The sequence below is a fragment of the Homo sapiens genome, chromosome 2 (assembly GCF_000001405.40).
Source record: "Homo sapiens chromosome 2, GRCh38.p14 Primary Assembly".
NCBI lineage: Eukaryota > Metazoa > Chordata > Mammalia > Primates > Hominidae > Homo > Homo sapiens.
Window position 1 is genome coordinate 95,184,395 of NC_000002.12, and position 24,935 is coordinate 95,209,329.

The following is a 24,935-nucleotide window of genomic DNA, read 5'->3' on the forward strand; positions in this document are numbered from 1 at the left end:
TCTAATACATTCTACCATTTTCAGCAAGATGAGATTGGAACAAATTTAGGATTCCAATGGACATCTTTTTTACTCTATTATCCTTAGAAAAGATACCAATGGACTTTTGAGCACAGTAGTAATGGAGACAGAGTGGGGATATGGATTTGATAGTTTTCTCTTTGTTTCCCATTTAAATTTGGTTATCAGAGCTTTTTTTTTTTAATGTGGATACTGTTCCACTTCCTTCTAAAAACAGGAAATGGCCATTTTACCTTTTAATTAATATCTCCCAATATGGCATGTAGTAGTGGAGACCTTAAATTTTGAGGTATTGGCTTCACCTAATGGCCATTAGTAGGATGAAACCTTGGAATTAGAAATTGATCAAATTGGAAGAATATCAGCATTCTTAAGGTATAAAGCAAAAATGACTGGATAGTGTTTGCAGGGGTTTGAGCCTCAAAGAAATGAAGTAATATCACTGATGTCAAGCTTTAAAAGGAGTTTCAAAGAAATAATATTACTGATGACAAGTTTTTGTTTTTTGTTTGTTTCATTTGAGACAGAGTCTCGCACTGTCGCCCAGGCTGGAGTGCAGTGGAGTGATCTCGGCTACTGCAACCTCCGCCTCCCAGGTTCAAGCAATTCTCCCACCTCAGCCTCCCAAGTAGCTGGGAATACAGGTGCCCGCCACCATGCCCGGCTAATTTTTTGTATTTTTAGTAGAGACGGGGTTTCACTATGTTGGTCAGGTTGGTTTTGAACGCCTGACCTCATGATCCACCCGCCACCACCTCCCAAAGTGCTGGGGTTACAGGTGTGAGCCACTGCGCCCAGCCAAACTCTAAGTTTTAAGAGAGAATTGAGTGCTTGCCACACAAAGGCACAGAAGCATTCCATGAATCAAAAGAAAGGTTGGCAATGATAGAGAATCTTGCGATGGAAAGAATATGGCAGATGGCAGAAAGCTGGGCACCGCAGCCTGGCACAGACAGTTGGCAGGCCCACCAATCCCAGAAATGCATCTGGGGTGTCATGATGCCAGGGGGCCAGTGGGAGGGTTGGCCAGCTTCTGGGCTCAGGCACACCCACCCCCTCCTCCTCAGGCCTGCATTTCTAAGAATAACCCCCTCTGCAAGTCTTACATAATAAATCACACAGAGCTGAAGAAGGAAGCAAAGATACCAGGTGCCAGCCATTAGACAAGATAAATATGTTCATTTTCAATAACCAGCTATAACCGATTCCTCAGGAAGTCTAAGAGATTGACTGCAGTGGATGTCAAGTTCCTAAGTGGTCTATGTTATTGAGGCAAGACTCCTGTGGTAAAAAGAAAGTTAAAGTAGGTATGTTGAGTTGGGTGATGGGGATCCTAGTGAGGGGGCTTCTCTGAAATGCTTTTACGAGGGTTTGAGTGGATTGGGAAATGTATAAACAGAGTGACCATTATAATTTGAAATCCGAAATGCTCCAAAATGTGAAGTTTTTGAGTGCTGAGCTAAAGTCACAAGTGGAAAATTCCACATCTGATCTCATGTGATGGGTCACAGGAAGATCAAGATTTAACGGGCGTGAAGACAGGACGAGACTTCAAAGGAGAAGGAGTAGATGGAGATAGAGAGGTCAGAGAAATGCCAGGGGACAGCCGTGTCACAGAAGTCAAAAGATTTTCAAGAAAGAGGGAATGGTCAAAAAGCACTCAAAGTTGCCAAGTAATCAAGGAAGACAAAGCCTGAGAAAGCTCCACTGGAGTTTATCAGTGACATTTAGCAGTGATATTTACAGAGTTAGAAAGATGATGATATATTGCGAAATGATAAAAGCAGGTTACAAAATGTTTGGAACTTGAATACATTTACAATATAGTTCCATATATATGCATGGAAAAAGAAGGACCAACACCAAGATATTACCCCTAATTATCTTTGACTAGAAAGCTTATATACTTTTTCTTTTTCTTTTTTTCTTTTTCCTTTTTTTGTTTTTTGAGATGGAGTCTTGCTCTGTCGCCCAGACTGGAGTGCAGTGGCACGATCTTGGCTCACTGCAACCTTCGCCACTCAGGTTCAAGCAATTCTCCTGTCTCAGCCTTCCCAGTAGCTGGGATTACAGGCATGTGCCACTACACTCAGCTAATTTTTGGTATTGTTTTTCGTAGAGACGGGGTTTCACCATGTTGACCAGGATGGTCATGAACTCCTGACCTCAGGTGATCCACCCGCCTTAGCCTCCCTAAATGCTGGGATTATAGGCATGAAGCACCATGCCAGGCCAGTTTATAACTTTTCTTTATCTCTCTTTTTTAAAAATTTTATTATTATTATACTTTAAGTTTTAGGGTACATGTGCACAACGTGCAGGTTTGTTACATATGTATACGTGCCATGTTGGTGTGCTGCACCCATTAACTCGTCATTTAGCATGAGGTATATCTCCTAATGCTACCCCTTCCGCCTCCCCCTGCCCCACAGCAGGCCCCGGTATGTGATGTTCCCCTTCCTGTGTCCATGTGTTCTCATTGTTCAATTCCCACCTATGAGTGAGAACATGCGGTGTTTGGTTTGGTTTTTTGTCCTTGCGATAGTTTGCTGAGAATGATGGTTTCCAGCTTCATCCATGTCCCTACAAAGGACATGAACTCATCATTTTTTATGGCTTCATAGTATTCCATCTCTTTTTTTTTTTTTTTTTTTTTGAGACATAGTCGCACTCTGTCACCAGGCTGGAGTGCAGTGGTGCAATCTCAGCTCAATGCAACCTCCACCTCCCAGGTTCAAGTGATTCTCCTGCCTCAGCCTCCCAAGTAGCTGGGACTACAGATGTGTGCCACCACGCCCAGCTAATTTTTTGTGTTTTTAGTAGAGGCAGGGCTTCACCATGTTGGCCAGGATAGTCTCAATGTCTTGACCTCATGATCCGCCCGCCTCGGCCTCCCAAAGTGCTGGGATTACAGTGTGAGCCACCGTGCACGGCCTATCTCCTTTTTATACTTCCTAGTTGTCTCCAGTGAACATGGAATGTTTTAAAATATTTTTAAAACTGCAAATAAAATGAGGAAGCACATTTTAAAATATATGGAGTAATGAACACCAAATTTAGTACAGTGGTTACCTCATGGAGGGGAAGAGAGGAGATGAGGGAGGGGCTTCAATCTTAGTGTTAATGTTTATTTCTTAAATTAGGTGGTGGGTCCATAGGTGTTTGCTTGTCTTTATGCTTCTTGTATGTCTTATGCATTTCATAATGCATTTAGAAACTAAATACAGAAAATGAAGACTTTATAAATTTCACTGTTACTTTTCTTTTTTTTTTTTTTTTTTGAGACAAAGTCTCGCTCTTGTCCCCCAGGCTGGAGTGCAGTGGTGCAATCTCGGCTCACTGCAACCTCTGCCTCCTGGATTCAAGCGATTTTCTTGTCTCAACCTCTGGGATAGCTGGGATTACAGGCGCCCGCCACCACGCCCAGCTAATTTTTGTATTTTTAATAGAGACAGGTTTTCACCATGTTGGCCAGGCTGGTCTTGAACTCCTGACCTCAGATGATCTGCCCACCTCAGCCTCCCAAAGTGCTGGGATTACAAGTGTGAGCCACTGCGCCCAGCCTATTTTACATTTTTAAAAGCCAAAGCCATCATAATTTATCTTTTTAAGGATTTCTAAAAAACTGTTCATTGATGTTTATAGTTGTGTTTTATATTATCTAAAACTCTTCCAGTTGAATTTGTATTTTCATCAAAATCAACAAAATTGCACAGAAATATAATTAACGGATACAAATTCATTATTTTTAAAGCTATAAAAGAAAATGGCTTCATGGGGTTGTTCCTGAGGTGTGGAACCTTCTCCATATTCCACTGCTCTAAGCCAAGAACTTTCCCTCAACCCACAAGAACACCAGGTCCACATGGGGGACATTCCCAGATATTCATCAGGGAAAGAACACGTGAACCACTTCAAAGAGACCTAACTCAGATTTTCTAGAAAGTTGCCCTGACTTCCCTTTAGAGAGCTGTGTATGTGATTCTGGAAAGTAGCATATGCTTTCTGGACAGTTTCATGTTCCCCCCTAGAAAGTAAGGCACTGCTACTAGACCCTGAGGTGGCCATGGGTTTCTATCCTAAACAGCCATTTCTCATTCTGTTCTTTGTGAACAGGACTTTTATTTCCTAAACCTGATGTGATTTTCCAGTTGAATGGAGGTGGAGAGCCATGGAAACTTGATATACAGGAAGGTGAAGTGAGAGAGGGTGCAGGAAGTACTTCTGTAGGCATGTGTGGATGGGCAGATGGGATTTAGTGGAAGGTTCACATAGAGACCCCTCCTTGGGGTCTCATAGGCCTATGGAGATGGTCATGGCCATACTGGGCCTTTGCTGCAAAAACTTGTGCTCCAGATAGCCACGTGGCTCTCTTGTCACCTTTTCCAAGTCTTTGCTCAGATGTGCCCCTTTCTCAGCCAGGCTTTCGCTGGCCATCCTGTCTAAAAACAGAACTCTCAGCCAGGCACGGTGGCTCACACCTGTAATCCCAGCACTTTGGGAGGCCGAGGCAGGTGGATCACTTGAGATCAGGAGTTCAAGACCAGCCTGGCCAACATGGTGAAACTCTGTCTCTACTAAAAAAATACAAAATTGGCTGGGCATAGTGGCTCATGCCTGTAATCCCAGCTACTTGGGAGGCTGAAGCAGGAGAATCACTTGAAGCTGGGAGCTGAGATCATGCCATTGCACTCTAGCCTGGGCGACAGAGTGAGACTCCATCTCAAAAATTAAAAAATAAAATAAAATAAAACATAACTCTCGCCATCCCTTCCACAACTCCCAGCCCCTGCACTCCCAGCTGTCTTCCCAGCTCTGTCTTCCTGACATTTTTGCTTTTTAATTTTGTTTACTGTCTGTACATACCTACCCCTAATTAAAATGTCAACACCACCAGAGATGTTTTGTTTTATGTTCTCGCCTACTGTCTCAAAACACTACCTGGTACACAGCACACACACAGATACTGTCAGATGAGTGAGAAAGTGGAGCTGTCTACAGCAAGGCCCTTCCTGTTTATTTTTCTTGGGGGTGGTAGTGGTGAGGGGTGAGGGTGGGAGAGGAGAGGGTTGAGACACACCTTTATTTCAACTCTGATAACACTTTCTCATCTTTCCTGCTTATTTATTTATTTATTTATTTATTTATTTATTTATTTATTTTGAGATGAAGTCTCACTCTGTCACCCAGGCTGGAGTGCAGTGGCATGATCTTGGCTCACTGCAACCTCCACCTCTTGGGTTCAAGCGATTCTCCTGCCTCAGCCTCCCAAGTAACTGGGATTACAGGCACCTGCCACCACGCTCGGCTAATTTTTGTATTTTTAGTAGACAGGGTTTCACTGTGTTGACCAGGCTGGTCTTGAACTCCTGACCTCAGGTGATCCGCCAGCCTCAGCCTCCCAAAGTGCTGGGATTACAGGTGTCAGCCACCATGCCTGGCTTCTCCTGCTTGTCTTTTACCATATGACCTTCCTTTTCCTTTTAGATCCACTCAGTAGTCACAGGCAGCTACTTTCCTAGGAGCTATCCTGTCTCCCTGCTTATTCCCTGAGTTTACACTCCTCTACCTGTAGCAAGCTGCCCTGGTCATTCCCTCTTCTATAGTTCTGTGCATATCTCCTATTTTTCTTCATATACCTCTTTTCGAAATGGCTGTTCACATGATTAACTTCTTTTGGCTGTTCACATGATTAACTTCTTTCTTTCAGATCTTAGTTTAAACATCAATTCTAGATGACCACTCTTAAGGATCTCTCTGAAGCCCCTACTCCAACTCCTACTCATTATTTCCTTCACTACACTCATCACCATCTGTTATAGTTTGTTTGTTTCTTTGCCATCTGTGTAGTAGAATATAAGCATCATGAGGGCAGGGACTCTGGCTGTCTTAGGCATTCGTGTTTCAGTGACTTACTGTGCCCAGCACTTAACAGGCACACTAAATGATAAATAGCTAATGCATGAATAACTGAAACGTGTTTAGTGGGCTAAATGCCCACTTTCCACTTCTAATCTCTATTTCTCTTTTCCTTTGCTATTTTTCACTCTGTCCCTGTTGTTTTTCTTTTAAGGAGCTACCAATCAATCAGCCAGTATTTTGTATTTGTTCTTAACACATACAATACTTTCTTCTTAACTAGCACTCAAAGCTTTGATCTCTATTTGCTATTTATTTTAGACCAGAAGACTAGATCTAAGAGCCAGGACTCCACTCAAAGGCAGGATGTTTCTAAAAAAATAAAATCACTAAATACATTAATGAAAAACTCTGAAAAGATTTTCCACTGGGTCCTGCACTTATCCCTGAAAAGCCTGAGCGCAGAAAGAAGAAAAACCATTCAGGGAAACGCTGAAGAAATCTGCGCCCAAGGAGAAGGACTGAGGCAAAGATCTACTCTTGCCAAGAAAACTAACAGTAAGGGGAGGAACTTTGAATGCAGCATGTATGGGAAGACCCCATATAACCACGTAGTCGTCACCCACCATCAGAGGACTCACAGTGGAGGAAAGCCCCATGACTGTCAGGAATGCAGAAAAGCCTTTAGCTGTAGGAGTCTTAAGAAAAACCTGATGTCAGCCAGTGGTTCATGCCTGTAATCCCAGAATTTGGGAGGATCACTTGCGCCTACGAGTTTGAGACCAGCTTGAGCAACATAGTGAGACCTTGTCTCTATAACATTAGTTAAAATCGAAAAAAGAAACACCTGATGTCACACACTGGGAAGAGCCCCTTTGAATGCAATGAAAACTTTCTACAACTGATTAACCCTTACTGGGCATCAGTGAACTCATACTGGAGAAAGTCCTTATGAATGCACAGAGTGTGGGGAATCCTTCAGTGGGAAAGTTATTCTGACTGGCCACAGCAAACCCGCCCTGGAGAGTGGCCCTAGGAATGCAGGGGTAGGGTAGAGCTCTGTTGTGTAGGGAAAAGAAAGAGAGATCAGACTGTCACTGTGTCTACGTAGAAAGGAAAGACATAAGAGACTCCATTTTGAAAAAGACCTGTACTTTAAACAGTTGCTTTGCTGAGATGTTGTTAATTTGTAGCTTTGCCCCAGCCACTTTGACCCAGCAACTTTGACCCAACTTGGAGCTCACAAAAACATGTGTTGTATAAAATCAAGGTGTAAGGGACCTAGGGCTGTGCAGGACGTGCCTTGTTAACAAAATGTTTACAAGCAGTATACTTGGTAAAGGTCATCGCCATTCTCTAGTCTCAATAAACCAGGGGCACAATGCACTGTGGAAAGCCGCAGGGACCTCTGCCCTTGAAAGCGGGGTATTGTCCAAGGTTTCTCCCCATGTGATAGTCTGAAATATGGCCTCGTGGGATGAGAAAGACCTGACTGTCCCCCAGCCTGACACCCGTAAAGGGTCTGTGCTGAGGTGAATTAGTAAAAGAGGAAAGCCTCTTGCAGGTGAGATGGAGGAAGGCCACTGTCTCCTGCCTGCCCCTGGGAACTGAATGTCTCGGTGTAAAACCCGATTGTACATTTGTTCAACTCTGAGATAGGAGAAAAGCTGCCCTGTGACGGGAGGCAAGACATGTTTACAGTAATACTGCCTTGTTATTCTTTACTCCACTGAGATGTTTGGGTGGAGAGAAACATAAATCTGGCCTACGTGCACGTCCAGGCATAGTAATTTCCCTTGAACTTAATTATGATATAGATACTTTTGCTCACATGTTTTCTGTTGACCTTCTCCTTATTATCACCCTGCTCTCCTACTACATTCCTTTTTGCTGAAATAATGAAAATAATAATCAGTAAAAACTAAGGGAACTCAGAGGCCGGTGCCGGTGCAGGTCCTTGGTGTACTGAGTGCCGGTCCCCTGGGCCCACTATTGTTTCTCTATACTTTGTCTCTGTGTCTTATTTCTTTTCTCAGTCTCTTGTCCCACCCGACTAGAAATACCCACAGGTGTGGAGGGGCAGGCCACCCCTTCATGTTGGACCATTCATCCCTCATTCGACACAGGACAGTGCACACTGTAGAGATGCATCCCGAAGATAATGAGGGTGGGAAGGTTTTCTTTATGGCTCGTCCCTTAATCAGCAACAGAAAATTCATAGTGGAGACAAGCCCTATGAATGCATTGAATGTAGGAAATCCTTCCTCCAGAAAAGATGGCTCATTCACCATCAGAGAGTGCACCCTGGAGAGAAGCTCCACGAGTGCAGCATGTGTGGGAAAGTTCTCAGTCGCAAGTCCTCTATCATCCAACATCAGTGATGTTTATGCCAAACAGGCTTCGGGGTACCATGGAGGTGCTTCAGCCAGACAAGCAGTCCCCAGAGAGACTTAGCATGTTTTTGTTCAAGGTAATGACGATTTATGTTTGAGCACCTTCTATCAACTGTGTGGGTGGCAAGCCACCCAGGCACCGAGGCAAGAGACAGAAGACACGAGCTGTTCCAGTATAATAAAATATAAAACAAGAATTGTTATACCAGATATAGATCTTAGATATGATTATATATGAGTATCATTAATCATTAGTTGGTAGCAATTACTTTTTATTCCAATATTATGATAATCCTCACTCAATAATCATAGCCTAGGAAAAACCAGGCCATACAGAGATAGGAGCTGAGGGGACATAGTGAGAAGTGACCAGAAGACGAGAGTGCGAGCCTTCTGTTATGCCCGGACAGGGCCACCAGAGGGCTCCTTAGTCTAGCGGTGACGCCAGCGTCTGGGAAGACGCCCGTCACCAAGCGGATCATGGTCCAGCAGTAGCAAAAGGTGTCAAGAAACAACACCCGCTACTTAGCAGACCGGGAAAGGTGGGGGGGGGGGGGGCGTCTCCCTTTCCCTGGGGGAGTTTAGAGAAGACTCTGCTCCTCCACCTCTTGTGGAGGGCCTGACATCAGTCAGTCTCGCCCGCAGTTATCCAGAGGCCTAACCGTCTCCCTGTGATGCTGTGCTTCAGTGGTCACGCTCCTAGTCCACCTTCATGTTCCATCCTGTACACCTGGCTCTGCCTTCCAGATAGCAGTAGTCAATTAGTGAAAATACTAATAGTCCCTGATATGCAGAAATAATGGTGTAAGCTGTCTTTCTCTTTGTCTCCTCTCCCTGTCTGCCTCGGCTGCCAGGCAGGGAAGGGCCCCCTATCCAGTGGACACGTGACCCACGTGACCTTACCTATCATTGGAGGTGACTCACATTCTTTACCCTGCCCCTTCTGCCTTGTATCCAATAAATAACAGCGCAGCCCGACATTCGGGGCCACTACCGGTCTCCGCGCATTGGTGGTAGTGGTCCCCCGGGCCCAGCTGCCTTTTCTCTTATCTCTTTGTCTTGTGTCTTTATTTCTACACTCTCTCGTCGCAGCACACAGGGAGAGACCCACCGACCCTGTGGGGCTGGTCCCTACACAACTGCTTATCCTTATGCCTCCATTTGGTACCACAGTCTTAATAAATAGTCTCAATTAACCATCCCATACACTTCATTGGGATATCTCAAATTTGAGATGATGCCTGGAGGATCCCCAAATTGGTCAGAAGCTCTCCAATCAATATGCTTTGCAGGTGTTTGAAGGAGACCCTAAGATAGGGAACAGACATATTATGTATTTATTTATCGCAAGGCTGAATGCTGCAGGAGAGCAAGAACTCCTTCATATCTGTGCATTGCTGTGTTCCCAGTGTGGGGCCTGGCACTCATCACGTATTTTCTTTCTTTCTTTCTTTTTTTTTTTTTTTGAGTTGGAGTCTTGCTCTGTCGCCCAGGCTGGAGTGCAGTGGCGCGATCTCAACTCACTGCAACCTCCCCCTCCTGGGTTCAAGAGATTCTCCCTGTCTCAGCCTCCTGAGTAGCTGGGACTACAGGCGCCCACCATCACGCCTGGTTAACTTTTGTGTTTTTACTAGAGATGAGGTTTCACCATATTGGCCAGGCTGGTCTCAAACTCCTGACCTCATGATCCACCCGCCTCAGCCTCCCAAAGTGCTGGGATTATAGGCGTGAACCACCGTGCCCGGCCTCATCATGCATTTTCTAAACGAATGAATACCTGAGAACTTGAGCCAAAAATCAAATGCACTTATACAACTAGAAACTTTAGTAAGAAAATAAACATCAAAGAAAATGTGGTACTTATACACAATGGAGTAGTATTCAGCCATAAAAAAGAATGAGATCCTGTCATTTGCAACAACATGGATAGAACTGGAGGTTATTATGCTAAGTGAAATAAGTCAGGCACAGAAAGACAAACATCACCTGCTCTCACTTATTTGTGGGATCTAAAAAACAATTGGACTCATGGACATAGAGAGTAGAAGGATGGTTACCAAAGGCTGGGAAGAGTAGTGGGGGGTGGGAGGGAAGTGGGGATGGTTAATGGGTAGAAAAAAATAAATGAATGGGCCAGGCGCAGTGGCTCACGCCTGTAATCCCAGCACTTTGGGAGGCTGAGGCGGGCGGATCACGAGGTCAGGAGATCAAGACCATCCTGGCTAACATGGTGAAACCCTGTCTCTACTAAAAATAAAAAAAACTAAAAAATAAAAAAAAAATTAGCCAGGCACAACAGGGTGGCTGTAGTCAATAATAATTTAACTGTAGATTTTAAAATAACTAAAATAGTATAACTAGATAGTTTGTGACACAAAGGATAAATGCTTGAGGGGACAGGTACCTCATTTTCCATGATGCAATTGTTACACATTGCAATGCCATATCAAAGCATCTTATGTACTCTATACACACCTACTATGTATCCACGACAATTAAAAATAATTTTTTTTTGAGATGGAGTCTCACTCTGTCACCCAGGCTGGAGTGCAATGGCGCAATCTCAGCTCACTGCAACCTCCGCCTCCCGGGTCCAAGTGATTCTCCTGTCTCAGTCTCCCGAGTAGCTGGGATTACAGGTGCCCGCCACCACGACCGGTTAATTTTTGTATTTTTTTAGTAGAGATGGGGTTTCACCACATTGGTCAGGCTGGTCTTGAATTCCTGACCTCAGGCAATCCACCCGCCTTGGCCTCCCAAAGTGCTGGGATTACAGGCGTGAGCCACCATGCCTCGCCAAAAATAAATTGTTTTTTAAAAAAGATAAGAAACATCGGCCGGGCGTGGTGGCTCTCGCCTGTAATCCCAGCACTTTGGGAGGCCGAGGCGGGCGGATCATGAGGTCAGGAGATTGAGACCATCCTGGCTAACACGGTGAAACCCCGTCTCTACTAAAAATACAAAAAATTAGCCGGGTGTGGTGGCGGGTGCCTGTAGTCCCAGCTACTCAGGAGGCTGAGGCAGGAGAATGGTGTGAACCCAGGAGGTGGAGCTTGCAGTGAGCCGAGATCGCGCCACTGCACTCCAACCTGGGCGACAGAGCAAGACTCCGTCTCAAAAAAAAATAATAAAAAAAAAAGATAAGAAACATCAAGCTTCTATGTGCTTATGGCTGCCAATGCCTTCACTACAGCTGTGCTGTGAGCTCTTCATCCGCTCCTCTTGTCTCTTCCTGGAGCTCTGATTCTGGTTATGTGCTACTGTTCTTCACTCGGCTCAGGAGCCTGTGTTTCCCTTTACTTGTGGTCTTCTGGCCCCAGACCTGACCTCTGGATTCTGGAAGACAAACCCATCACCCAACTATCCTTGTTTCTACAGTGGTGGTAGTTGTTTCATCTTTGTTTAATTTTATTGATAACCAAGCTTCCTTAGTCTGGCTCTGCCATTCCACAGCACCCTGGATATAGCCCCTTCCCTTTCTCTCTTTTTTTTTTTCTTGAGATGGAGTCTTGCTCTGTCACCCAGGCTGGAGTGCAATGGCACGATCTCAGCTCATCGCAACCTCCACCTCCCGGGTTCAAGCGATTCTCCTGCCTCGGCCTCCTGAGTAGCTGGGACTACAGGCGTGTGCCACCACATCCAGCTAATATTAGTAGAGGCGGGGTTTCACCATGTTGGCCAGCATGGTCTCGATCTCTTGACCTCATGATCCACCTGCCTTGTCCTCCCAAAGTGCTGGGATTATAGGCATGAGCCACCGTGCCGGGCCTTTCCCTTTCTCATCATATACTCACTTGTAGCTGTGGAAGGGAAACATGTTCATCCCAAAAAGTTCGGAGTCCTTTGCAGCATCCAGGCGCAGCCGTGGCAGCTGGGTGGGGTCCCAGGCTGAAGAGGTTAGCCACTGTGAAAATGGCTACAGGAAATGGGGCTGTGTCTAATCTCAAAGAATACCACAAAGCCAAAGTTAACTCCAGACACTGCTCGTCCACAAATGGTCATCCCTCAGTACCAAAGCAGCAGACATGAGGATGTGACTGAAGGCCAGGCCTATGAGACATGGTGTCCTCCTTCTTGCCCTCAACATCAGTACCCATGAAGCCAAAACACAGACTGTCCTGTCCACACCTACACAATAGAGACTTAGATCAGCTTCCTCACATCTATGGCTTTAAGAATTCCTGCTTAGTAGTAAAGCAGTAATTTCAGACAGCAGCTGAGAGAGCGTCAGCACCAGGATGAGGAGGAGGATAGGCTCTTGCTATCCAGGCATTAAAAAGCTTAATTATTTTAATTTCTTATCCCATATTGGCACTCCTGTGGATGAAGGATAGAGAATTAGCATGGCCCTCCCTTCTTTCATCCTGTAAATGGGCAGGAATGTGGAACTTCAGGCAGGATAAATGGAGTGATGGTGAACCCCAGTAGCAGAGGCCTCAAAAAAATCAGTCCTCATAATGATCAACTATCTGGCCCCTGGTGTGGTACCCAGACTGTTGAACATGCCAGAGGTGCCATATAAAGATGTGGATTCTTCTCCATCACACTTGTGTACAAAACCTGTGCAGAGTCTGCAGAAGATGCAAAAGACCATCTACTCTAAGATCAGAGGTTCAGTGTTTCGAGCCACTTTATAGATGCTCATGATAAAGTAACTTGCAAGAGCTAAAGTGTTGACAATGAGCATTGAGTAATGCTTACTGCGGCAGAAGCTGTTCGTTGTCTAGCCAGAAGTCATTCTTCACCTCCTTAATGATAGGAACTCTGGTTCTATTCTGAGCAGCAGAGCACCCAACTATATTTCTTGGCTTCTTTTGCAGCTAGATATAGCTAATCAGGCCAATGAAATATTGATATATCAAATATCAGGTGAATGCTATGCTGATAAAATTCAAATTTTTTGGATAGGACTTCTGGAAGGGTACTTAAAAGAGTGACAACTAGGACACTCCCTTTTGGCCTTGCCTTTTCCTTCTTTCTACCTGGAATGTGGATTTAATGGCTGGAACCCCAACAGCCACCTTGTGACTTTGAGGACATAAGCCATGCCTTAAGGATGGCAGAGGAGAAAAACAGAAGATGCCTGATTCCCCGATAATCTTACGGAGGCTTCATATCAGCCCTGGACTGCCTACTTCTGGACTTGAATGTGAGAGAATAAAACCTGATGTAATTAACCATTGTACTTACAGCCAAAGAAAGTTCCTGTTAAACTTTCCAAAACAATACATAGAATCCACAGAAAAAGAGCTAACTCTTCCATCCTCATGTTGGGACCAGAAGGGAGGTGAGCTGTACCTCACTGTGCGGCTGGCCTGACCTCAGAAGCTTTACGGTCAGCTCCAGAGCACTGACACCTCCAGGATTGTAGCTCATAAGGGCAGAATAATAGTCACAGAGGAGGTGTGGACCTTCCCTGTCCCCATAGCCCAGCATCATTCTTTGCAAATCCCTCATAAGTATCTGATAGTTCAATCCCAGCATCTTTCAAACATCCTTTGGCTGGTTCTCTTCAGGCCAACTTCTCTGCCACTCTTACTAAAAATATATCCATTCATCCATATAAAACTGTCTTTTCAAAGTACACACAGAATGAATTATAAACAAAATATACAACCACACTATTCACAGTTGGCTAACTGGTTGCCAAGAGTCACTTCAATATGGAGTTCTTGACTATTATTACACCTGGCTGTGGAGATGCCTGATGAACTTCCAGGTCTACTACTTATCTCATTTTGTTGTTTGGAGGTGGTGAAAGGGACATCCCAAGCATCCTCTTGGTGCAAGAGAATGACATGATATAGGCTGGAAGGTGCTTCTCATCTAAAGGTCTACTTGCTTTCCTCACAACATGTGTGGCCATTCCTGCTATTTCTTTCCTAATAACCCCCAACAGCTACCCTGCTAGGAAATGGGAGTTTTCTGTAACTTCCTTGAAAAGGCATATCAGTAAGTCTATCTGATGGAAGCATGGATGGAAATAAGATCTCCTCTATTCATTATGACTTTATGAGTTTCAAAGAATCCATAATACTCCTTTAGCTATTGTTGGGGAACAAGCCAAGCAGATATCAGCAAACCAAAGACAAGCTAAAACCAACCCTGAATGTCCTGTGTCTGGGCAAAGCGGATGTGGACCACTGTATCACTTGGCTTGACAGAAACTGCCCAGATAGACCTCCATGTCCCAGATACCTTTGCATTCTTCAGTCGTCATGGTTGCTCCTTTCAAATACCAGATAAAATGCCAGATCAACATTTATCAGGTCCCAGAAGTCCATCTGGTTATTGCTTGTGATGTCAGCAGCTGTCTTGGCCTCATTCTGTGGCTCTTTCCTGGACTGCTGTTTGCAACAGCTCCTCTACCATCAGCGCAACTTCATCAGTCAGAGATGGTCAGAAATTTCACAAGTAAATTCCTGCTATACTAGAGTTCTTTAAGGATCTGGCCACGACACTAAGGCTCCTTGAGCAACTCTAAGACAGTAAGGGATTTGCTTCCTTGAAGTTCCTGGTGCTAGGATCAGAGCCCCTCTGTCATTCTCCCCCAGGGGCTTGTCTCCAGGTTCCTCCTTCCTCGATCCAGGCCTGTGCCTCTGCCTTCATCACTTGATCCTAGCCACTGCTCCTGCTCCACCATGAATCATCGCTCCTCGCCCACAGTTGTCCCTTTCAAAAATGCTGCCATTAGAGGGACCAGGGGTCATAGGCAGCCATGCTCCCAGTCTTAGCCCAAATTCCCTAGGAAATAGAGCTTGAGGCAAGGATTAAGAGCTGGTGCTTTATGAGGTGCAAACCTAGGGCAACATGAGTGAGGAAAAGGAAGTGAAATAGGAAAGGATGGGAAGAAATGCAAGACGATCCGTTTGCCTGTCGACTTCTACTTCACCAGCTGGGAAGGAGAGATTATTCAGCATGTGCATCTGCTTGGCTCTGTAAGAAGTCCACATTCCAGTGTACGTGGAGCAACCATGCCTCGAAGCAATAATGGGTAAAGGGAAGCCAAAGGAATTAATCTGATCAGCTTCCTCCATCTCTCAGATGCCCCCGCCCTTCAGATGGCATCACCCAGCCACTCCTAGGGAAGCCAGCCCCCACAACCCACTGTATAGCCCTTCAATAAGGCTGGAAGTGGTGTGAGGGGTCCGAAACCTGAGTGTGCAGCTCTTTGGCCTTCGGCTGGCAGGAGGAGAGCCTGGCACTCCCAGGTAGGTAACCGTCCAGCTGCAGGTGGTGCAAATGGAAGAGCTGAGTGGGTTCACAGGCCCTGGCAGCTGAGGTGGAGCAAATGGCCGAGGGTCTGTGCAGAGGGCTAAGGGATGTGATGAGGCACAAGACACATGCCCAATGAACTCCCTCTGCTGCTTCACTCCAAGCCTGACTTCCTGCCTCAGGTCTGCCTGCCTCTCACACTATCTGAGGCCTTTGGCACCTCTCTCTGTTATGTTGAATCTCATGTACCCCAAATCTTCACCTGTTTGCCACCCAAATCCTTCCTTCACATTTTTGGCTTTGCCCTCTTCCATGATGATGAACAGATTCCATATTCATTTCTCTTAACATCAGCTTTCACATCAAAGTAAATGGCCTTTTATGGCACTACTGCTGCTTAAGAAAGGCAAGGATGCTTTCCTGACAGGATGTCAGACCTATTAGAAGGAAATAGATGTTCTCATAAGTTTTGAAGAACTCAGGGTTAATCTACCTGTAAGAGACAATGAGGACTCATGGGTTTTTATTACAAGGTGTTCCAATTCCACCCTACTGCTGTGTGACACCAATTTATGTGCTGCAGTGGGAGAGAGGTGCCACTGCTGTTCAAGGCCACATTATTCTAAAGTAGTGCCTGTGTCCGTGTGTGAAGAAAGTCTGAATTTTCCAGAAGCACACAAATTAAAGCCAAGAAAAGCAATGAGAACCATATTAGCTTCAGGTACTTTTACCTTCTCTGCATCATACAGAGAAGAGTATACTCTCCTTCAGTTACTGATCATGTAAGTACCAGTAAATACTCTGGGGATATTCCTTCCCCATGGAGCCTGATCCCTGGTGCATGCACAGTGGGGGACACTAAAGAAATAAAATTAATAATTATAATATTAGAAAGAGATAGCTGCTATGGAAAAGAAATAAAGTAATGAAGGACAAAAAGGCTTCACAGAGACGGTGAACAGAGGCTTGGCGCTGGTGAAAGAACAAGCCTGGTGGCCATGTGGGGGAAGGATTATGCAGGCTGAGGAAGAGGCAGAGGGCTCCAGAGTGGAAGCTTCACCTGACTGAAGAAGGACAAGAAGGTCAGCGTGGCTGCAACAAAGCAAGCAAGGGGCAAGTCGTAGAAGAGATCAGAGAGCTAGTGGAGGTGGGTGGTGCAGGTTATGAAGGGGCTGTGGGCCATCGTAAAGACTTTTGGCTTTTATTCTGAGATGAGGGAGCCACTGTGTTGAGAATAGAATGTGCAGGACAAGAGTAGAAGGGGTGGGACTAGTTAGCAGGCATTTGCAGTGATCCACGCAAAAGATGATGATTTGAACCAGGGGGGTGGTGGTGGTCATGGTGGTGGTGGTGAAATGTCATTAGATTCTGCATGTATTTTGAGAGTAGAGCTGGTCAGGCACGGTGGCTCACGCTTATAATCTCAGCACTTTGGGAGGCCGAGACAGGTGGATCAGGAGGTCGGGAGATCAAGACCATCCTGGCTAGCGTGATGAAACCCCGTCTCTACTAAAAATACAAAAAATTAGCCACGCGTGGTGGTATGCGCCTGTAGTGCCAGCTACTTGGAAGGCTTGAGGCAGGAGAATCTCTTAAACCCAGGAGGCAGAGGTTGCAGTGAGCCGAGATCGCACCATTGCACTCCTGCCTGAGCAACAGAGCGAGACTCCGTCTCAAAAAAAAAAAAAAAAAAAAAGAGAGTAGAGCCAAAGCAACTGGATATGTGGCATGAGATAAAGAAAATGATGACTCCAAGGTATCTGAACTGAGCAACCAAAGGATCAGGTTGCCATTTACTGAGGTGGGGAAACTGCAGGGGGAAGAGATTTGGCAGTGGAGGAGGGGGAACAGCAGAGTTCACTTTCGAATATGCTACGTTAAAGATGTTTATGAAACATCAAGTCAAGAGGTGGAGAAGACAGCTCAAGGTCAGGGGAAAAGCCCAGGCTGGAGATATAAATTGGGAGCTGACCACATTTGGGTGGTATTTAGAGCATGTGGGTGGAACAAGATCATCTAAGAGTAGGCACTGCTATCCTAGTGTTGACAGAAGAAGAGAGGCCCAAGGCCTGAGCTCTGGGGCATTTCAACATTTGGTTGATTCTTAGATGAGCAGCTTTGGCATCTTCTGGGAAGTTGGTGGAAACACAAATTCTCAGAATCACCTCGGACCACCCGAATGGGGGTGGAGTTCAGCACTGCATTTTAACAAGACTTTCAGATGATTCTGATTACCATATAATTGTGTGCCACAAAATAGCATTTCAGTCAATGGCCGACCACATATGTGATGGTGGTTCCAAACAATTACAATAAAGCTGAAAAATTCCTATTGCCTAGTAATGTTGTAGCCATTAGGGCAATACGTTACTCGTGCTTGTGGCGATGCTGGTGTAAACAGGCCTACTGCGCTGTCAGTTGTATAGAAGTACAGCAATACAATTATGTACAGTATGTAATACTTGCTAATGATAATAAACGACTATGTTACTGGTTTATGTACCTACGATACTATACCTTTTATCGTTATTTTAGAGTATACTCAGTATACTCCTACTTCTAAGAAAAAAAGTTAACTGTAAAACAGCCTCAGAGAGGTCCTTTGGGAGGTATCACGGAAGCAGGCATTGCTATCCTAGAAGATGACAGCTCCGTGCCTGTTATTGCCCTTGAAGACCTTCCACTGGGACAAGATGTGAAGATGGAAGACAGTGATATTGATGACCCTGACCTTGCATAGGCCTAGGCTAATGTGTTTGTGTCTTAGTTCTTAGTTTTCTTTTCTTCTTCTTTTTTTTTTTTCAGACGGAGGCTTGCTCCATCGCTCAGGCTGGAGCGCAGTGGCGTGATCTCAGCTCACTGCAACCTCCACCTCCTGGGTTCAAGAGATTCTCCTGTTCACAGCCTCCCCAGTAACTGGGATTATAGGTGAGCACCACCACACGTGGCTAATTTTTGTATTTTTAGTAGAGACGGGGTTTCGCCCTGTTGGCCAGGCTGGTCATGAACTCCTGACAGGTTGTCTGCCCGCCACCGCGCCTGGCCAGAAAAGGTAACTTGTTGAAGGACGATTCTTTTTATAAATTTAATGTAGCCTAAGTGTGCAATAGTTATAAAATCTATAGTAGTGTATAGTAATGTCATAGGCCTTCACATTCACTCACCGTTCACTGACACACCCAGAGCTGAAACCGACCCAATAGTCCCACAGACAAGTTTTTTCGATAAACATAGAATGTGTCCCTTCTAGTCTTTTGTTGTTGTTGTTTTGTTTTGTTTTTTGAGATGCGGTCTCGCTCTGTCACCCAGGCTGGAGTGCAGTGGTGCGATCTCGGCTCACTGCAAGCTCTGCCTCCCGGGTTCATGCCATTCTCCTGCCTCAGCCTCCTGAGTAGCTGGGACTACAGGCACCCCTCACCACGCCCGACTAATTTTTTTTTTTTTTTTTAGTAGAGACGGGGTTTCACCATGTTGGCCAGGATGGTCTTGATCTCCTGACCTTGTGATCCGCCCGCCTCAGCCTCCCAATGTGCTGGGATTACAGGCGTGAGCCACCACGCCCAGCCTTCCTTTCTACTCTTAAAGCTTGAAACTTAAATTTATCTGAGTTCCTTCCTCAGGAAAGAACCCCAGGCCTCTCAAAAGTATCAAAGAACGGGCTGGGCACGGTGGCTCATGCCTGTAATCCCTGCACTTTGGGAGGCCGAGGTGGGTGGATCACCTGAGGTCAAGAGTTTGAGACCAGCCTGGCCAACATGATGAAACCCCGTCTCTACTAAAAATACAAAAAAGTAGCTGGGTGTGGTGGCGGGCACCTATAATCCCAGCTACTCAGGAGGCTGAGGCAGGAGAATTGCTAGAACCTGGGAGGCAGAGATTGCAGTGAGCCAAGATCACGCCACTGCACTCTAGCCTGGGCAACAAGAGTAAAACTTCGTTCTGAAAAAAATAAAATAAAATAAAAAAGTATCAAAGAACGGAAACTCACCAGATCACCACATCCAGACAGTGAGACACCAGGCCTCTCATGCATCATGATTGCTAACCTACCCCTCCTGAATTCCTATTTTCCCACACATTGTTACATTTCTTCCCTGCTATATAAACTCCTCACTTTAGTGGGTCGGGGAGATGGATTTGATACTGATCTCCCATCTTCACAGCTGCAGCACCCAATAATCGTCTCAGTCATTGGCTTCCTGTGCAGTGAGATTATGGTCTCAGTCATCGGCTTCCTGTGCTGTGAGTGGCAGGACCTAGACTTACAAGAAAAAAGTTAACTGTAAAACAGCTTCAGAGAGATCCTTCGGGAGGTATCCTGGAAGCAGGCATTGCTATCTTAGGAGATGAAAGTGTTTTGGTAACAGAGTAACTTCTAGTCTTGAAAGCTCCAATCATGGTAAGTGCCCTATACAGGGGTACCATATCTTTTATATTTTGTTTTATCCTTTCTATATTATGTTTAGATACACAAATACCATTGTGTTACAATGACCTGCAGTATTCACCACATAACCTGCTGTACATGTTTATAGCTTTGGAGCAACAGGCTATACCATATAGCCTGGGTGTGCAGTAGGTGGTACAGTCTAGGTTTTCATAAATACATTCTATGACGTTCACACAAGAACAAAATCACCTAAGAATGCATTTCTCCGAGAGTATCCTGGTTGTTAAGTGATGCATGACTGTTGTTTGGAAAACACTGGCTTAGAGGTGAGTAGAAGAGGAAATACCTAATGAGATTGAGAAAGAGTGACCAGTCAAGGAGGAAGAAAACCAGGGAGTATTTCCAGGAGCAGGGAGTAGCCAAGTGTTATCACCTGCTGTTAATAAAGTGAGATGAGGACTGACAATTGATATGGTAACAAAGAAGGGATATCTGTGATGGGGATGGTTAGCAACAAGAAGAAAGGGGTACTCTAGACACGTTGAAACCAGTCAATAGTCCCATAGACTTTATTTTGGATAAACATAGAAAGTGACTCTTTGGTGGTTTTTTTTTTTGTTGTTGTTGTTTGTTTTTTGTTTTTTTTGAGACAGAGTCTTGCTCTGTTGCCCAGGTTGGAGTGCACTGGCACGATCTCTGCTCACTGCAACCTCCCCTCATGGGTTCAAGCGATTCTCCTGTCTCAGCCTCCTGAGTAGCTGGGATTACAGGCGTGCACCACCACGCCCGGCTAATTTTTCTGTTTTTAGTAGAGACGAGGTTTCATCATGTTGGCCAGGCTGGTCTCAAACTCCTGACCTCAAGTGATCCACCCACCTCGGCCTCCCAAAGTGCTGGGTATGATAATAGGCATGATCTACCGCGCCCGGCAGACTCTCTGGTCTTAAAGCTTGAAGCTTATACTTGTTTTATCATAGTTCCTTCCTCAGGAAAGACCCTCAAGCCTCTCAAAAAAGTATGAAAAGATGATTCTGAGGGAGCATTTGATGAAAAAAAAAAAAACAAGTATCAAAGAACTGAAACACCAGATGATGGCACCCAGACAAGGATACACCAGACCCCTCATTCATCATGATTGCTTCCTTATTCCTCCCTAGTTCCTGTTTTCCCCCACACAGTTACATTTCTTCCCTGCTATATAGACCCCTGGTTTTAGTAGGTCAGGGAGATGGATTTACAGCTGGTCTCCCATCTCCTTGGTTGTAGCATTTGATTAAAGCCTTCTTCCTTGGCAATACTCCTCTCAGTGATTGGCTTTTTTTGTGCAGCAAGCTGCAGGGCCTAGACCTTATCCCTGGGGTTTCCGTAGCAACATCAGCGAGTAGTGTCTTTCATATGAAGCATCTTCTGAAGGAAACTGCCCATCCCATATCTCCTGCGGAAGGAAGAGTGGGGAGACTCCCTTTGGCTGTCATTTGAGGTGGCAGGGTTGTGTCTCTACCACAAGTCCTTTATCCCCACCAGCCCTAGCTGCCTGGACCAAATGCAGCCAATCTACGGACCAGTTAGAGGTTAAGTGTGGTTATCTGTGCAGAAGAAACCCAAAATAATACTGGCTTATACAAAATAGAAGTTTGCATCTCTCTCATGCTAAAGCCCAAGCTCTGTTCCAACAAATTACCCGGGGCTCCGTTCCTTCTATCTTGTTGGTTTACCATCCCTAGGGTCTTAACCTAGTTCACACAGCCCATGATGATTTCCTACGTTCCAGTCAGCAAGGGGCTGTGGGTGCTGGGGAGGGCAAAGGGCAGGAATAATGAGAAGCCTTGGGAAGCCTTGAGCCTATCTAAAAATTGGAGATTCTGCTGGAGAAAGGTCAATTGGACATTGTGGCTTGTATCCACAAGGACATAGCTAATTAAATTTTCTCTTGGGAATCTGAACTGGACAGAAACCTGACACTTTATTGTGGGAAGGTAAGTGAAAACACGCACTAGCCTGAAGACCCGCCCACCCCTAGAGCTCCTGGGGAGTCTGCAATGTTGTACCCAGGCGAGTTGGAGAAAAACGCCATACTTTGACACGAATTAAGAGTCCTTTATTAAGCCGGCGGCCAAAGAGACGGCTAAAGCTCAAAATTCTTTCGGCCCCGAGGAAGGGAGTTGATTAACTTTTATATCTAGGTTTAGGAAGGGGAGGGGAACTCAAATGCAATAATTCTACAGAAGTAAAAACATGCCAAAATCAAAAAACAAATGGTTACAAAGTGATAAACAATTTAAAAGACAAACGGTTACAAGAAGAGCAACGGTACCAGGTGCAAGGCTTTAAATCTTTCATTATAATTAGATATACGGGGTATGCCGGACACGAACTCAAGGCTTTATGTTTTCTCTTTGAGAAAAATCCTGGGAACTTCATACATTGTTGGTGCTAATACCTTATCAATTAATTGGGCTCCTTTGAAATGCTGAGGATCTGCTTACACAGGTCAACTCCTTGCGGAAGGGGGTTGGGTAAGGAGCCCTTAGTGTCTTGTAAATTAAGGGGTCAACTGGAGTTTGTCCGGCTTTCCCAGCTAGAGAGAGTCTTATTTACATGAGAAGCAAGGCTAGGTGATTAAAGAGACAAGCAGGATAAAATTCAAAGTAACGAGTTAGAGTAAAAACAAGGTTAGGGATTTCAGCAAGACCTCCAGGCTCCAGCCTCCTTGGGGCAGCAAGACTAGTTTACTGGTTCTTCTTGGAGACGTGGCCGTTTTTGGGGTTGAAGTGATTTCGGGATTGAAATTCCATTTTTCTTTATTCCGAGGTGCAATATGGTACAAACATCCCTGGTTAAAGTAAACTGAGATCACCTCTGTGTTGGCCACGAAGGGCCGATGCATGGAGGCGCAGCAGCGAGGACACCGCCGGGCGCCTCCCCTCCGATGGAGCACCGCAGCCCGGGAAGGATCCTGCGTAGGTCAAGGGCGCCGCCTTCCGCCCTCACAGTAGCGGAGATGCGAAAAGTCCCACGCCGGGCGGGGTTTGGCGCGGCCACCGCCCAGAGTCGGCACCGAGGGAGGAGCGGCCCTTCCAGAGTCGCTGGCAGGGTTCAGCCAGCTGGTCAGCGCTCCTCCAGGTCGGTCAGGAGCGTGCCGCGGCAAGAAACGCAGCCCCGGGAGCAGGTGGCCGCAGGGTCCTCTGGGAAGCGGTGTTGGGAGTGAGGGCCGTCAGCCGCGCCCCGCGGAGGATTCTGGGAGTGGTAGTTCGGCCTCATGGTTGGCCGGCGCTAGGCGTCCCCGCCGGCTGTTAGATGCCTTTGTCGTCGGGCTCGGCTTCCTCAGTGTGTGGCTGGAGGTCGAACCCAGGGTAGAGGAGGGCTGAACGCATCCCCTTTTAATCTGAGTGTCCGGGAGGAGGGTGGCGGGAGGACCCCCGGGTGGGGGCGCCAGGCTGCCCACGCGTGCGTTCCCGGCCTCTTGGGGGACCCGAGCGGCGGACCTCCGGCTCCTTCCCCTGTCGCGGTTGCCTCCAGCGCGGGCCGGAGGAAGGAGTCTCCATGGAACCTGAGGGCAGAGGTGAGGATTTGGGAGTGATGCGGCCTTGGTGCCCGCTGCAGAGGGAGAAAGGGAGAAAGGCTACCTCTGGCTGGCGCAGGCTCAGGAAGGAGTAGCGTCACGAGCCCCTTCCTACTAGCCGGTCTCACTTGGGGTTTTGAGGGATAGCCCGCCACTTCCATTGCCCTCCTGGTCTGTAGGGCGCTGGATGCCTCCCTTGCTCAAGGGAAAATATCAACACATCTGACAATTTGGCTTTTGATAATGACTTCTTTTTTGATCTCAGAGGAGCCCCATAAGGCAGTAGGAAGGAACTATCCGACCCTTTTGGAAGGTAGGGAAAGCAGGGATTTGAGAAGTCACGGAATTTGTTTACAATCCTGTTTTGTTTTTGGTGGTGGTGGTGGTTTTTCCATAAGACGCATCACTTTTCTGAGTCAGGCGGTGTTGTATTAATATCTGAAAAGTCAGTGTTCAAAAAGAATTTAGTCTTCGTTTATCCTGTGAGCCTGGAATACAACACAGATGAATCACTGAGGCGTGGACATACAAAGACTTTGAGTATTATTTTGACTACTTAGCACATGCAATATAAAAATATGTTTAATTTATATGTCCAGATGCTCATAGGAGTTCTACTGGAGTTTAAGGACAGAGAATAGGAGGAGCCTGAGACAGCAATGGTCAAGGTGTCTTGATTAAAAGATATTATGCGATTTTCGTTTGGTTCCCAGTGTTGACTCTTCTTAGATGACAACTAGCTGGTGTGTGGCACTTCCTGCTAGTTTATTGCAAGGACAGAGTAATCATCATGGCTCCTGTCTCCACTTTTAGGATCACTTTTTGAGGACTCAGACCTTCTCCATGCTGGAAACCCAAAAGAAAATGACGTGACTGCTGTGCTGCTGACCCCTGGGTCCCAAGTAAGTTTAGATTTCTTCTTTCTTTTCCTTCTGTTCTCAGAGCAAGGATGTCTTTCCTTCCAGTGCTTATGGAATTGCTCAGCCCTGATGCTTAGACCACTGGGTTCATCCTGATAAACTGATGACTGATGACCCCAAAGGAAGTGTTCTTCAGTTGTGCAGAACTTTCTTCCCAGCGTTGCTTTCTCTCTGCCCACTGAGTGTTTGCTGCACACACATTGAGTACTGTAATTGGCCTTGGTGAGATGCAAAGAAGTAAAAGCCACTTGCTCCTGCATCGTGGAGTTTACTAAGGCAGTGAGAAATACATAAATAAAATAGTTAAACACGAAGAAATAGGTATTTTTTAAACATAGAAATCATTGGTCCAGACAAGTCATGAAAGTCTCTGAAAGAGTTTTTTTTTATCATCTGTTTGGGAGAAGTGTGGGATAAATCTGTACTTTGAAAAACAAGAGAGAGTGGGTAGTTGGAGGGTAGAATAAGGGAATATTACAAGACAGAATAGCTTTGGCCAAAAAATAAAAAAAAAGTCTTCAAATGATGAGGGAGTTGGAGGTCTTCCGAGGATGTGTGGATGTGTGAGTCACTGT

General features: G+C 45.8%; 1 protein-coding gene and 2 pseudogenes across 3 annotated transcripts in view, besides 3 other annotated features; 2 read left to right on the forward strand and 1 right to left on the reverse strand.

Annotated features, from left to right (window-relative positions):
* LOC100287523 (zinc finger protein 2-like) lies at nucleotides 6,240-8,277 on the forward strand (annotated as a pseudogene).
* SLC2AXP1 (solute carrier family 2 pseudogene 1) lies at nucleotides 12,101-12,990 on the reverse strand (annotated as a pseudogene).
* The window catches only part of ZNF892 (zinc finger protein 892), a 57,232-nt gene continuing 54,257 nt past the window's right edge, over nucleotides 21,961-24,935 (forward strand). For 2 of the 3 annotated variants that reach the window (XR_007073288.1, NM_001395961.1), the window contains exons 1-2: nucleotides 23,127-23,440; nucleotides 24,254-24,342. Coding sequence is in view for 1 of the 3 variants with exons in the window: in NM_001395961.1 (NP_001382890.1) it covers nucleotides 23,422-23,440; nucleotides 24,254-24,342 (108 nt within the window). In the remaining 2 variants the exon portion in view is untranslated. Of the gene's footprint in view, nucleotides 23,002-23,126; nucleotides 23,441-24,253; nucleotides 24,343-24,935 lie in introns of those variants that run through there. The other variant, XM_047444126.1, reaches the window with a different exon arrangement.
* Nucleotides 22,647-22,776: an enhancer, noted in NCBI's record as "active region_16183". NCBI's record gives its function as "activates an Ori minimal core promoter by ATAC-STARR-seq in GM12878 lymphoblastoid cells {active_cell/tissue: GM12878}" and the evidence as "EXISTENCE:reporter gene assay evidence [ECO:0000049][PMID:35858748]".
* Nucleotides 22,937-23,186: an enhancer, noted in NCBI's record as "active region_16184". NCBI's record gives its function as "activates an Ori minimal core promoter by ATAC-STARR-seq in GM12878 lymphoblastoid cells {active_cell/tissue: GM12878}" and the evidence as "EXISTENCE:reporter gene assay evidence [ECO:0000049][PMID:35858748]".
* Nucleotides 23,227-23,456: a silencer, noted in NCBI's record as "silent region_11741". NCBI's record gives its function as "represses an Ori minimal core promoter by ATAC-STARR-seq in GM12878 lymphoblastoid cells {active_cell/tissue: GM12878}" and the evidence as "EXISTENCE:reporter gene assay evidence [ECO:0000049][PMID:35858748]".